This window comes from Homo sapiens, chromosome 10 (assembly GCF_000001405.40).
Source record: "Homo sapiens chromosome 10, GRCh38.p14 Primary Assembly".
NCBI classification, from domain to species: domain Eukaryota; kingdom Metazoa; phylum Chordata; class Mammalia; order Primates; family Hominidae; genus Homo; species Homo sapiens.
In genome coordinates, this window is record NC_000010.11 from 127118397 (window position 1) to 127133567 (window position 15171).

At 42.9% G+C, this 15171-nt stretch overlaps 1 protein-coding gene across 24 annotated transcripts in view; it reads left to right on the forward strand.

Moving 5' to 3' along the window:
- DOCK1 (dedicator of cytokinesis 1) overlaps positions 1-15171 on the forward strand; it is a 547089-nt gene that overhangs the window by 212969 nt on the left and 318949 nt on the right. For 21 of the 24 annotated variants that reach the window (XR_007061946.1, NM_001377544.1, NM_001290223.2 and 18 more), the window contains 2 exons: positions 7078-7205; positions 9273-9368. Coding sequence is in view for 23 of the 24 variants with exons in the window: in NM_001377544.1 (NP_001364473.1) it covers positions 7078-7205; positions 9273-9368 (224 nt within the window). In the remaining variant the exon portion in view is untranslated. Of the gene's footprint in view, positions 1-7077; positions 7206-9272; positions 9369-11090; positions 15092-15171 lie in introns of those variants that run through there. The other 3 variants (XM_047424703.1, XM_017015817.1, XM_047424702.1) reach the window with 1 other exon arrangement.

Genomic DNA, 15171 nt, shown 5'->3' on the forward strand with positions numbered 1-15171 from the left:
TTCTTCCCTCTGACAACTTGTTACTAACAGAGTAATGGAAGTTTAATCCTTAGTTTTCCAGAGTAAAAGATACAAAATATCTGCTCCCCCACTGCCTTCCTTTAAAGGATGGCTCGCTTTTTTACAAAGCCTTGTGCCGATGTCCAGAAAACATATATTTGACAAACTTCTTTTTCCTGTTGTTCAATAGTCCACGTGCTACTGTGCCCCCTCCTTCCAATTTCCAACACCCTTTTACTTGCTCTGTCACCTTTTCATTTCAAATTCCATGATACTGAATACCTCAAGAGTGAAGTGCAGATTACCGCATTTCTAACAATTTCAGCCCTCTGCCCAGTGGCCCTGTTCCAGTCAGAACACGTAAAAGGTACTGTCGGGCAGCTTGGAACAGAAACACTGTACAGGCCATTTGTGTTTACTCCATTTTACAGACTAGGAAACTAAGGTGCAGAAAGGAAAAGTGACCTACCAAGGGTAACTTGATGTTGATTTATTCTCTGGTACTGCTAACTTTCATGACTTGTTAGGTTAGAATGATTCTTGAAAAATTTGCTTTGCGTCTGTTATGTAAAAATGCCTGAATCATACAGGTTTACACACACGTGTACCTGCATGGGTCCTTTACTCTGGGGGCTCCAGCTGAGGAATCAGGCTTTTTTTTTTTTGAGACGGAGTCTCGCTCTGTCACCCAGGCTGGAGTGCAGTGGCGCAATCTCGGCTTACTGCAAGCTCCGTCTCCCAGGTTCACGCCATTCTTCTGCCTCAGCCTCCTGAGTAGCTGGGACTACAGGCGCCTGCCACCGTGGCCGACTAATTTTGTTTTTGTATTTTTAGTAGAGATGGGGTTTCACTGTGTCAGCCAGGATGGTCTCTATCTCCTGACCTCATGGTCCTCCTGACTCAGCCTCCCAAGTGCTGGGATTACAGGCGTGAGCCACCGCGCCCGGCCGGAATAGACATCTAATAATTCTGACTCCGATGGTGCGTAGAGGTGCAGTCCTGAAGGTCCCTTCACTCAGCTCCCAGCTCCCACATCTGTGAAGTGTGGGGCTAAGGAGATGGCTCTGCGATTCCTTCCAGTGTCGGCACCGTCTTCTGTATTTCTGTTGTTTGAAGACTTGAATGGAGGGAGGAAAGCACGTGAACATGTTGAAACCTGTGGGTCCAGGATTCTTAGATGGTTGGAAAATAAGACAATTGACTATACAAGATGAATAGCAAACACCCCCCATGTATATGATTCTTACTGTTTAATTCTTAGGAAAAGTGTTATTCTGGATCTCAGTTCTATGTAACACAGAGTTATTAAATGCACTTTATGGATCATTTATTTAATGTGACCAAACTAAAAATTAAGAAGTACATTACTCTGTTCATAAAAATGAATGTTTTCAATGGACAAATTCATTCTTGTATTTGCATCTTGCTTTAATGTAGAGCTGTAATGGGGTTATGGTCAGATATTCTGCTTGGGCATTTATAAGCTGATAATGCTTATTGAATACCTTTTATAAAGATTAATATTTTTTACTCTGTCCTCATTACCAGAGCATTAATCATCCTGGCTTCGGCCCTTGCAGCTGAGGATGAACAGATGTTGAATTATTGCTGTCTGTAATCATTGTGGATCACACTGGGGAAGGGCCGTGAAAGGGTGGCTGGTGTGATCCTCACAGCTGATTTGCATGGAGCCTGGCTACCTTTATAGCTCTGTGCATGGCAGAGGAAACCAGGATAGCTGTGCCAGCTGATTCTAGCTTCCTCGTAGGTCACCGTAGCCTAAGTCAGCACTGACAAGCACTGGCGGTCCTGGAGTCACGTACGTGTGACAGGGTGTCTGATAAGAGAGAGCTGTGGCCATGACTCTGCTTACAATAAATGCCAGTTCATAAAAATGAGAAGTCACATACAAGGTCTTTAACATCGGCTTTCTAGCATTCTCTGAGACTGTGCTGTCCAGCAGAAATAGAATGTGAGCCGTGTATGTAATTAAAAATATTCTAGTTGCCACATTTTAAAAAATGAGGCAATTGATGAAATGAATTTTAGCAATGTATTTTGTCTAAAACATCACTGCAACGTGAATTCTCTCTAAATATTACTAATGATACATATTTTACATTCTTTTTATGATATGAAGTCTCTGAAGTCCAGTATTTTACACTTACAGCACATCTCTGTTTGGATGTGAAATTTTCACCAGACACTTGATCTTTATTTTCATCATTGAATATAATTTACCTTTGAAAAATGAGATTCACATACCCCAATTGTTCCAAACATTGGTTTCTAACAAGTAAATCAAGTAGCACTTTTTACATTTGAGTTTATATTAATTACAATTAAATAACATTAAAAATTCCTTTCCTCCATGGCACTAATTAGATTTCACATGCTCAGAAGTTTCCATGTTGGGTATCACAGCTCTGAGGTATTAGTTTTCTTTTGTGTCCTTTTAGTTGAACAGCTGACTTTGTATAATACTATACCTTCTGTTAACCACCATTTGTTGTAGGCTCATATTTGCTAAATACACACATCGTATCATTTAGTTCTCAGTCAACCTGGGAGACGACCAACAGCATCCCCATTTTGCACATTAGAAAAATTAAGACCTAGAGAGTTTAAGTAACTCTTAAACGCTCTAGATACAAAGCAAAGAGCCAGCAGGGGGGATTGCATTATTTCTTTATACGTGTGGGTAAACTGATTAAAAGGCTTTCCCCAAATCCCATAAAGTGACCCAGGTTCCTGGACTTCTGGTCAAGTGTTTGTTCCAGAGTATTCAAAAGATGATGTGTTTTTCTTTAAAATATAAGACCCCTCCTCCTTTTTTTTTTTTTTTCTCCTGGTGGATTATTTGTTGGCTTCCCAGGCCATCTGTTTTGGAACTAATGGGACTATCAGTGCCAAACCTGTAGAAATGACATTTTGTCCATGGGAAAAGTATTCAGGACATTTAGGTGTGTTGTCCATAGGAAGATAGGAGATTCCTCTTCCTTGGCTGCCAGAGACAGCTGTTCATGCTTTAAGATAGGTCATTGTAGGGTATATGTATATGTGTGTGTGTGTGTGTGTGTCTATCTGTCCGTCTGTCTGTCCATCTGTCTGTTTTTGTAGTATACGTTCCTCAGTGCTCTTGATTTGCTATCTTAAGACAAAATTCAAGAGTCTTACTGTTACTTAAAACGTGTACTCCCACCACTTCTTGAAAAAACCTATCTGTAGACAGAAATATAGAGTAAGAGAAGTCCCTTAAAAAATGAGGTTTTAAGAAATTTATGTTTTTGCTTTTGGGGAAGGCAGCTGAGTGGCTACTGTACTGGATAGTGCAGCTGTAAGGCTTTAGTTTTCTTTGTATATTTTTAGTTGAAAAGGCTGACTTTGTATACTGATATTTGTATTATTGTTATTAACAGCTACCATTTCTTGAGGGTTGAGAGTGGCAGACCTGCTTTTAACTGCAGACTTTAGTTTGATACCACATGTGCGTAATTGCAAGTTAATCCAAGACACACACACTCATACCACCACTATCATCAGGCCTTGGTTTATGTGCTTGGATATGCCATTTAAGAAAAATAGGAAGGCTTCTGCTCTTATGGAGATTGCATATCAGCAAGGAGGAACAGATAATTAAAGCAATCAGTATTTCAGTGTTCCGATAACGGGGCATTGGAGGCCTTCCTGTACCTGGGTCCAGTGGGGGCTGTGCTGAGGCCAGCAGATCACAGGTCACCAGGGAGGTGCACTCCTTGGCTTTGCTGCCTTCAGCTTCGGTCCTCCCACCCTCTCCTAGTGGCTCTGGGGAATTGCCTTTCTTTGGGGGCCTGGGATGGGTTGCTGTGGACCAGGTGACGGACGGTACTGTAAGGTGCCATAGCCTGTGTGACCCTCTGCCTGGAGGCATGGTTGAAATCCCTGGCATGGGCAGACTGACCTTTGGCCTTTAGGGAAAGAGCCTCGTTGCCAGCCTGGTCCTCCTCAGTGACCTGGTTCTGTTTTGGGGTCGGGGTGGAGTTTCCTGATGCTGATGGTGCCGGGGGAGACCTCTCACTGAGGCATGTTGGATGGCTTTTTACACAGTCCTTCCTCAAGCAGCATCTCATTTTGTCTCGACAGTTAAAGTAGACATCGCCCCACCTCCCCACTTGATCTTGACTGGCCATGGATGGCTGGGTCATGAAGGCTGAGGTGCAGTTGGATTCTGGTCTATCAGGATGGTTATAACAATTTTTTTTTTTTTTTTACATCTTCTTGGGGGCTTAGTGAATGAAATGTCTGTATTGGGACAAAATGACAGTGACATTTCTAAAAGTTTTGTTGTTTCTCATCAGGAGAGGCTGGATAGCAAACAGGTGAAGGTAGCGCAGTCCTCCAGGTGGGGTGGATGGTGAACGTTACCACCAGGTAACCAAAGATGGTTGATAGCATCCTCCAGCCAAAGATGAACAGACAGACACCTCTTTCTTCTCACCAGAGTAATTCTAACAAATGAGACCAGCACACTCAATTAGCTCTGAGAATAGCACAGATCACAACTGCCTACCCAGCATGACAGATAAATGGTGCGGTGAGGGATGAATTTAGGCCAGGACATCTGGGTACCAGAGCCTACAGGGCCAGCTCTGCTGTTTCTGAGCCCAGTGCTATGTTCCTCTGATTTTCTGGAATCACTTATGGACACACCCTCCTTCCAGCCTGTACTGGCTGGTCCGTTAGACCTTTTCCCTCTCTTGGGTCCGTCCTAAGCTTGCTTCAGAAGACGGCTTCTAAGCTTATGTAGTCATTTTTTTCCTTAGTCACATTGTCAGGGGCTGTCATTACCTGCTCAGGTCTTAGTGGTTCTAACTGCTGCCTCTGAGGTTTCTTGGAAATTCAGCTTGTTTTCCAGAATGGTGGCAGTGCTAGGGATGACCAAGTGACAGGGTTGGGCCAGGGCTCTCCCCATGTTGAGGTTGGCACAGTGTGTGATGTGTTTCCAGCCAAAGGGCAAGAGGACTCATTTGGGAGATATTATGGTGGGCACCACGAGGAAGAGTGCTGGCAGGGCGGGGCTCAGATAAGGGTGTGCTGAGGAAGCATTCCAGCCAGCTGGGCTAGAGCATTTGGAGTTAAACCCTACGTCGGATGCTGTGTTGTGGTTAAGGTCAGCAGCTCAAGAGTCACTAAAGTTGGATGTAGTTTGTAAACATCGAGGTTCTATAGGAAAGGCATTGAGATTTGGGGGTATTTGTGGAAATAGTGTGTCCCATGTGTTAGCGTTTCCAGGCTGGATTCACTCCCATGAGGTCATTTTCTTGTTCATTTCTCTTAGACTGGCTTTGTTCTCGGGTGGCTCTAACACTAGGGCAGTCTCCTACACGGGCAGCCCATCTTGGCACTGTGCTCTCCCTCACTGACCTCCTGTGGGATTCCAGACACCACAGCCTTCGAGGCTGACCTGGCCTCTTTCCAGAAGATGTGCAGCTCTTAGCACGTCATACATTTCTTCTGCCTAAGTGTTGACTACTGGCATTGTGAAATTAACAGGTACATTCTTATTTTCCTATATTAATTGGACAAAACTTCTTGTAAAAATGGAGTTGCTCTCACTCCTTTCTTGGCGAATCAACAAAAAATGGAATTGGGGAAGGCCTTGGCCATGAGCCGCCCACATGTGATCCGCTGGAGACAGGGGAGTAGAGGGGTTTGTGTTTCTTCTCAGTCTTTGTTTCTCTCTGCCTGCTCCCCAGTCCTTCATTACAGTGTAGTTCTTGGGAAAGTTCTAAGTGTGCTCTGTGTACTTAGAGGAACCATTCCAATGTTGCATGCTTATAGTTTTCTTATATAAAAGAAACATTAATGCAAAACATGTTTTAATGTATCTTTAATGTTGTAAGTCTTAAAATATAAAATCCTGAAAACCGGCTAAGTCTGTTTAAGGTTTTAGAGCACTGCTGTCTCCTCTTGTGCTCTGCGTTTAAAGGAAACAAGAATGGCTGGGCTAGTGTCAAAACACAGAACTGGTGTTGTAAATAGATAGTCCATGCTGGAGAGTGGATGATGCTCCAGCTAAGCTGGATTTCCCAACTGGAAGAGACAATTAGGGATTGCATTTCACCTTTCATTGTATTTGTATCTGTTTCCCTGTTGCTCTGTTATTTTCTGAACATCCTTCCTCTGCTCTTATTGAAAGAACAAATGGAAACCCAAACCTGCTTTGCCTCTGATCCTTACACCATGGCATCCCTTCATTTTATAGCCATGCGTCCCAGAGTGGGGCCTCTGCACCTGCTTTTCATTTCCTGTTCCTCCTCAGCCCACTCCAGGAAGCTGTCTTGAGAAGGATTCTGTGTGCCTTAAATTGCCACATTCCAAGATTGGCATCTTCTACCTAGGAGAAGGAAATCATACTTTGGCTCACCTTGGCATAGATGAGAAAAGCTGCAATTCAAATAATTTGTGTTGTAGGAAGTATTTCTTTTAATGTTGCAAATTAGTGAATTTGTAGTTAGAGAAAATTCATTAAAAAACCCGTGTGTGGCTAACATGGTGAAACCCCATGTCTACTAAAAATAAAAAAAAAAAATTAGCTGGGCGTGGTGGCAGGCACCTGTAGTCCCAGCTACTCAGGAGGCTGAGGCGGGAGAATGGCGTGAACCTGGGAGGCGGAGCTTGCAGTGAGCCGAGATCACACCACGGCACTCCAGCCTGGGCGACAGAGCAAGACTCCGTCTCAAAAACAAAACAACAACAAAAAACAAAAAACCCATGTGTGTTTGTGTCTGCATTTATGTGCACACAGTGGGATATAAGTGTGTGTGTGTTTATATATATCATGTATGCTTGCAAATTATTATCTGTTTACCTGGGATACACACATAGATGCATGGAAGTGTGTTTGTATGTGAATTATTTACAATAACAGCAGACACGGTGTTCTCACAGTCAAGTAATTGACCCCCCTCCAGATGTCAGTTCCACGTGTTGCACAACGTGAATGCAAACTGCTTGAAAGGGCAGACAAGCTTATAGCAAACACGAGTTGCGTCTTGGTGGGTTTCACACTGACTGGCAATGCTGTGTCCTGTGTAGACTGCAGAGAGATCCTGCTTCCCATGATGACCGATCAGCTCAAGTACCATCTGGAGAGACAGGAGGACCTGGAGGCCTGCTGTCAGCTGCTCAGCCACATCCTGGAGGTGCTGTACAGGAAGGACGTGGTGAGTGTTGGCTCTGTGCGTGACGTCCTGCCATTTGCCTGAACCTGCCATTTGCCTTGCAGTACAACTTTATTCAGTTAAAAATGAAAGGTCTTGATTTTAAGGTCTAGCCTCTCTTTTTGTCTCGGTAGAGTTGCACCCTTAAATTATTTTTATTTATGTATATATGGTGATTATTACAACATTTATCCTTTTGCATTGAAAATTGTTCTTTATTTCCTGTGTCTTCTCGACGAAATGTCTCTCAGGACCTAAATTTTCATCCTTAAGGTCAGACAAAAAGGCTTTGATGCTTAAAGTTGGCTAATTATCTGCATTCTTTCTTCTTATTTTTATTAAAGTAATACATGCACAAAGTTAAAAATAAATAAATAAATAAAGCCAGGCATGCTGAGGGAGTCGTAAGGAGAAGAGCAGCTCTTTTCCTCCCCTCAGGCTCTCTTCCCCTAGGTCAGTGCTTTGCTTTTGTAGCTCTACCCTATTCCTTTTTTTTTTTTTTCTTTTTTCTTTTGAGACAGAGTCTTACACTGTCGCCCAGGCTAGAGTGCAGTGGCACAATCTCAGCTCATGGCAACCTCTGCCTCCCGGGTTCAAGTGATTCTCCTGCCTCAGCTTCCCAAGTAGCTGGGATTATAGGTGCCTGCCACCATGCCCAGCTAATTTTTTTGTATTTTTAGTACAGACGGGGTTTCACTATGTTGGCCAGGCTGGTCTCAAACTCCTGACTTCGTGATCCACCTGCCTCGGCCTCCCAGTGAGCCACTGCACCTGGCCTACCCTATTCCTTTTGCATTTCTAAATTGTATGCTTCTTTCAGGGACTTTTTTAAAAATCAGAAGTTGGTGCCAGCCCAGCGAAGTAGCTCACGCCTGTAATCCCAGCGGTTTGGGAAGCCAAGGCAGGAGGATCGCTTGAGCCCAGGAGTTTAAGACCAGCCTGGGCAACATAGTGAGAGCCTGTCTCTAGAAAATGAAAGAAAAAATAAAAAGCAAGTTTGTGCCAGCACATATGGAAAAGTCTGACCCTGTGCCTTTCACTCCCAACATACCATTCCTGTTGGAGCACACACATGATGCTATTGATCTTCCAGGTGTGCCTGGAAAGGTGAAAGCAGGGCTTTGTCTGTCCTTGCCCCTAGCCCTGGACAGAGTGGCCAGGATTTCTAAGTAGATAAGGCTTGTCCCTGGCCGTTTCCTGCATGACCTTGAAAATCCCTCCTAGTCACCACGCCCATATACCTGGCCACCCACTCCGCTGTAGCCCTGGCTCATTCTCTCAGAGCCTGATTAGTGATCTGGAAGAAAAAGATCGGATTAAATCTGTTCTTGGTGATGCTGGAAACCTCACCTCTTACAGGGGCATTGCCTTTGGAGAGGTCTTGGAGGCCTTCACCCAAAGGCCAGCCTCCAGTGGTCCCACTTCAGGCTCTTCCCTGTTTTTATTGGAGAAAAGCTTGGGGTAAGAGCTTGTATGGCCAAAGCTCACAGAGGAGGTGGTGATGCTGGGAAGGGCCTAGAGCATGTGTTTAAGCAGATTCATAGTTCACGAAGAAGAATCAACAATCGCATCCCACACTAATAAAAGAGTTAATTTTTACTGAATGCCACAGCAGTGTGAATTTTAGATAGTTTGCTAAATGCTGTTTAAACATTCTATCCTGTGTGACTGTTTAAGTTATTTGCATTTGACGTGCAGAACCATCTAGGACTGTTATCTGCCTGCCTTCCATTTACAGATGGCCAAATATCTTTAGAAAACTAATTGGTGGGCTAATCAGGGATCATAAACATTATATTGTTTAAACAGATTTTCTTTTATTTTTAAGGTTTGCTTAAATTAAATTACTATGATTATATATGTAACAAATTATCATTAATGGACTATAATTAATAAAAACCCCTGAGTTTTTTTGTGAGAGCTTTTGCCTTTGACAAGGGCCATTTTTCATCTCATTAAGGGTTATAATTGATTTACTCTTTACAGGGTAAATGGATTCAATGACAACCACTGGGGCTTGCATGTTAATGTTTCTCTGGTGTTGGTGTTCATTGGTGTGTCCTTCCCCAGGGGCCAACCCAGAGGCACGTCCAGATTATCATGGAGAAACTTCTCCGGACCGTGAACCGAACCGTCATTTCCATGGGACGAGATTCTGAACTCATTGTAAGTGCTTGGTGACATATGTTTGGATATTTAACTGGGGCTGACAGCATCCTTCTCCAACTGCTGTTTGAACATAGCTTATTATACTGCAATGTAGTGAGCAGTTGAGATACAGCTTGGTATATAAAATGTCCTCATTTTCCAAATGAATGTCAAAGTTGAAGGGTAAGCAAACCAACTTTAAAGATGGAAACATTTGGCTCTTGTTTTCTCATTACTTACTTATAGCAAAAGACATGTATTTTCTGCTGAGTCGTCATTCTTCTGGCAGTTTCTCCATAGTGTTTACACTTAAGGTGCCATTAATAAAATTTTATGAAGGACCCTAAAAAGTAATTGAGATTCTTCACCTTAGTTATTTTATTGTCTACTCTAATGTATTGTAGGTGTTTTTCTTAAACAGTAATTAGGCAGGAGCCTATTCATTTTTTTCAAGAATATTTTACTAATTTAGACAGTCCATCAAGTTTCTGATCATGGTGCCTTTTCCCAGGGTTCACTGCTGTCCTCTGCACCCCCTTACCTTAAGTCTGTTTCCTTCAGCAAAAAATGCATGAGTAGATCTCGTTTAATTTTTTTTTTTTTTGAGGTTCAAGGGGTTATAATTTCTTTCCTTTTTTTTTTTTTCTTTAATTTCTGGGATACATGTGCAGAACATACAGGTTTGTTACGTAGGTATGCGTGTGCCATGGTGGTCTGCTGCACCTATCAACCCATCATCTAGGTTTTAAGCCCTGCATGCATTCGGTATTTGTCCTAATGCTCTCCCTCCATTTGCCCCCCACTCCCCAGCAGGCCCCGGTGTGTGTGGTTCTCCTCCCTGTGTGCATGTATTCTCATTGTTCACCTCCCACTTATGAGTGAGAACATGTGGTGTTTGGTGTTCTGGTCCTGTGTTAGTTTGCTGAGAATGATGGCTTCCAGCTTCATCCATGTCCCTGCAAAGGACATGAACTCATTCTTTTTTATGGCTGCATACTATTCCATGGTGTATAGGTGCCACATTTTCTTTATTCAGACACATGTACACGTATGTTTATTGCAGCACTGTTTACAATAGCAAAGACTTGGAACCAACCTGAATGCCCATCAAAGATAGACTGGATAATGTTTAAAATATTTAGCACATGTTATCATTTAAGTCATCTTGGTGGATCCTTTCCAAAAAATGACTTGAAAGGAGAAAACGTCCTTTTGGAGTTTTCCCTTGACATCAGAGAAGGCACCCTGGTCCTTCCTGGTGCGTGACCGTTGTTCTTGTTGCATATCTGGGGTGTGAACAGGGAGGTGATGTGCGTCTTCTTGGACAGCATAGTCAGAACGGAGCACTGGGGTCCTTTGCGTTTTTATGTCTGGTGTCACCACAGAGGACTCCGTGTCGTGTGCGTCACAGACAGGTCGCACAGATGGACAAATGCTGCCTTAGTGTGTTTCCATCCAGTGAAACAGTTCATGTCTTAGAGCTTCAGCACATGTGAGGTTCAGATTTTCCTTTTTAAAGTGTTTAAACTTAAAGTTTAAACTTAAACTCACATTTTCCTTTTTAAAGTGTTTAAACTTAAAGTTTAAACTTAAACACTTTTAAGTTTGGATTACAACATGTATGAATCAGGAAATAAAATGTTTCCATGTAAATTGGCTTTATTTACAGTAGACTTTTCCATTATTACATAAACATAAATTTGCCTGCCTTTTCTTATTCTCCATGATAATTATTCATAGTCTTGAAACACATTTGGAACACATTAATATGGAATGGGCACTGAGCCCATGGAGAAGGATTTGCAGTGACTCCACGAGCCACCTGTTGACCCCTGAGGTCTGGCGTTGACCCCTGATGTCCAGCGTTGACCCCTGACGTCTGACGTTCCTGTCTTCTTGGAGTCGTGCCGCAGGTGCACTCTGCACAGTCTCAGGAGTGGAACTGGAAAGGGCCTTATGTAGAGCAAAGAGCATGTGGCTTGAACTTGAACCAAGTGTGGTTCTGCCAAGACCCTCTTGGGATGGGCGGACTTAGAGAGGCTGGGGATGACATGATGGCATGCAGGGGTGGTGGCAGATGAGGGAGAGGGTAGAAGTGGAGGCAGGTGGTCTCATGAGACTGTTTTGTCTCTGTTTAGGGGAGCATGGTTCTGCCTGTGCTTAGGGAAACATGGTTCTGTCTCTGGTTAGTGGGTCTTGGTCCTCTCTCTCCGATTAGGAGGTCCTGTCTCTGGTCAGGGGGGCACAGTCCAGTCTCTGGTTAGGGGGTGTGGTCCTGTCTCTAGTTGGGGCACAATCCTGCCTCCAGTTAGGGTCTTCTTTTTTTTTTTTTTTTTTTTTTTTTTTTTTTCCCCTGAGATAGAGTCTTGCTCTGTCGCCCAGGCTGGAGTGCAGTGGTGCAATCTTGACTCACTGCAACCTCTGTCTCCTGGGTTCAAGTGATTCTTGTGCCTCGGACTCCCGAGAAGCTGGGATTACAGGTGCACATCACCACACTCAAGATAATTTTTGTATTTTTTAGTACAGTTGGGGTTTCACCATGTTGGCTAGGCTGGTCTCAAATTCCTGACCTCAGGTGATCCATCCGCTTCGGCCTCCCAAAGTGCTGGGATTACAGGCATGAGCCACCATGCCCAGCCTTATTTAGGGTCTTTATGCTAGGTGTGTGTTCACTTGACTTGTAGCCCACTGGTCAACAGTTAAACTGGAGGGAAGAGGGCACAGAAAAAGCTCATAAAGTTTGGATGGGAAGCTGGGAATGTGGAGAGATTATAAGATGTGCTCACAGCTTCATCAAAGGGTAGAATAGACCCTGCAGGGAATGATATCTCCTCTCAGACCATGTGGTCCAGGATGTCTTTGAGAAATTTCTCCTATCTCAGGCATGATAATAAGTGTGGTAGTAATAATGGCACCTCTTCACTGAGCATGCATTTACGTGCTATGCACTCTATAATGAACAGGAAGATTCTCATTTAATTCTCACAGTGCCCTGCAGACAGACAAGAAACAGTTCAAGATCCCACAGCTAGCATGGCAGCACTTGTTTCCAGCCTGGATTTGGTTCCCATGTATGCTGTCAGTCCCTTCTATAAGACACAGGCACACGATGCTGATGGCCGTGGTCCACTTCAGAAGTCATCGAAAGGACTGAGCTGCTCCTAGATCCCTGTCCTGCTTAGGGAGACAGCTGTTCAGGGAAATAAGCACCTTTCTATTTTCTATCATGTCGTATCCATGGTCCAACTCTAGGATCTCCTTGCTAGAAGGGCCAGACCACAAGCTAGGTGCCCATTTCCTGAAGGGCTTGGGATGCTCCAGCTTGGAAGAACCCCTGTGTTCTAAGGAACCCTGAGGAGTTCCTCAGGAAGAAGCCTTGCATGTTCTAAGAAGGGGGTGTGACAGCGAGGACCCATGCTTGGTCTTATCCAGAGCCACATTGATATCAAGCATTTGGCATAGGGGTCTAAGCACTGTCCGGGAATGGAAGAGGTAGAACAAACTTCCCACCTCCAGAACCATCCTCCACAGCCCTGATCTTCCCAAACAGAAGCCTCAAAGTGGGAAGAGGAGAGAGGTCTTAAACGGACTCCTCCCAATTCCACCATCTCTAAGATCTGTAAAGAAGTAAAAAAAATCCTTGGAGTTTCTTTTATAAAATGCAGCTGTCTTGAAAGGACTCTCAAAAAAATTCTGAATAAGCTATAATCATTTAATGAGTGATGACAACATCAAGATGTTTTCAAGAAGGGTGTTTGCCACTGAAAATTCGAGTTGTTTAGTGGGACCTTGTAATCCCCAACCAGCCACGAGCCCCCTCTCTGGAGTCAACAGAGCAGTGTGAGTGAAATGCTACCCTGTTTAGGATGCCTGCCCTTGCTCTTCCAATTTGCATCAAATGTAGATTTGTGCATTAACTTTTTAAAGTCGTTGCTCTGTGAATTTAGATTAGAGGAAGATCAAGGCAAAAAGTATCCCTGACAAGGTGGACAAAAACCTTAATCAGTAGACCTTCTAGAGTGGAAAAAGAGTAGAAAATAGTTCATAGGTCTGTTTTGGGTAGGCTGTTCCATTCCATTATATCTTAGAGATTTCAGCCTTTATGTGTTACTCATTTTTGCTAAATATAGTGGAAATTATGTAACTATGAATCAGCTTAAAAATTCTAAGTAATCACTGAAAATGAGTTTTTAAAAATTAAAGTGATTAAAAAGAACTCTGAAATTAATATACTTTACTTAATGATTTATTCCATGATGTTGTCAACAACAGTACTAGAAATGTGGCCTCTTTCCATCGGAATAAGGCATTAACTGGGAATGTGATTATGCCCTGACAGCTTCCCCCTATTAATGTAAGGAATAGAAAACTGGGGAACTTCACACTTAATTAGATAAATTGGGATATGCAATATAAGGCTTTTCTTTATCTGTGGGATTTTACAAAAACTCGACTTTGCAGTCAGTTGTATATTGTTTGCTTTAGTTGATTATATTTGAAATGGGTGATTGGAATGCGTCTCGTGCCTAGGATAATAATGTGCTATGATCCGAAGTATTACATCCTTAAGAAAAAACCAAAACAACTCTATTTGGCAGTTGCAGAATTGTAGACCATGTGAATACCTAGCACATGCCCAGAGACAGAAGCGTTGCAATAACCTTGCCACAGAACAAAAAGGTCATTTTATCTTTACTCTGATGTAGTCTGATGCTGTAGAAGCATGGAGTGAAATACTTATTTTTATATTAAGTCAGACTTCAGGATTTATTTCAGCCTTCCTTTTTGAGAAGCTTTCTAAGCCCTCAGCATTAAGCAGCATTTTTCCTCATCACACACGGATCTGAGCAGGTGACCGCGGCTGGGATAGGTGCTGTTGTGTTGTGTGCAGGTGGGCTGGCCAGCCATTGGGTGTGTGTTTTTCCTAGAGTAAGAAGCACTCCAGGCTGAGATGAGAGCTGTTGAAATGAGTAACATTTCCGTCTCCTGTGATACGCGCTGCTGTTGCTTCTTTCAAATGATCAGATTTACATTCTTTTAATGGGTCCTTTAAAAATGTAATCGAGTGAGAAGGACTTCTAAACATTTTTCTTTGGCCTGGATACACACGAGGGGATTGGAAATTACTAATTCATGAAAATGAAAATGTGGGCTTCTTTTAAGGAAAAATTCCCTTTGAACATTGACAGAAGTGGGCATAGGGAAGGGGAAGATTTTGCCTGGATTCTCCACTTAACTCTTGTCACCACTGGAGCATCCTGACTCCCTAGACACAAGTGATGGAAGTTATTTTGTTTCCACTCTAAACACTGTCTCAGGGGGACATTGATGGGATGGTGGAGGGTGTGTTTCATTGTGACAACAGCATCTTTGGTGGGGAATTTGCTGTTGGTGAAAACCCAGTGCTTTCTCTGAGCATGGGTGATTGATAAGGGCCTGACATGCTCCTTCATTTGGAAAATGGTATTAATAGAATTGGTTTCCCAGTGAATAGTGCCTTTTACCCAAGACTCATAACCAAATATTTTCACAAAGATGTTATATCCCCATGCATGAGCATTCATTTTGAGATGTTCATTATAATAGAGTTTAAGTATGAATGTGTTTTAAAAATGATTTTAAAATCATCTGCAAAAAAATGTTGTGTTTCAAATGGACAGTGTCTGGGTTTTGTATAGTCATCATAAAAATGTCTATAATTGTACTGTTTGCTAATAAACCTGCCTGCTTTCAGAAAATCATCCTAACGTGTGTGTGTGCACCAATGGTTTTATAAGTTCATTTTTCTTTGGGGCAGCTACAGCAATTTTAGGTTTGTTTT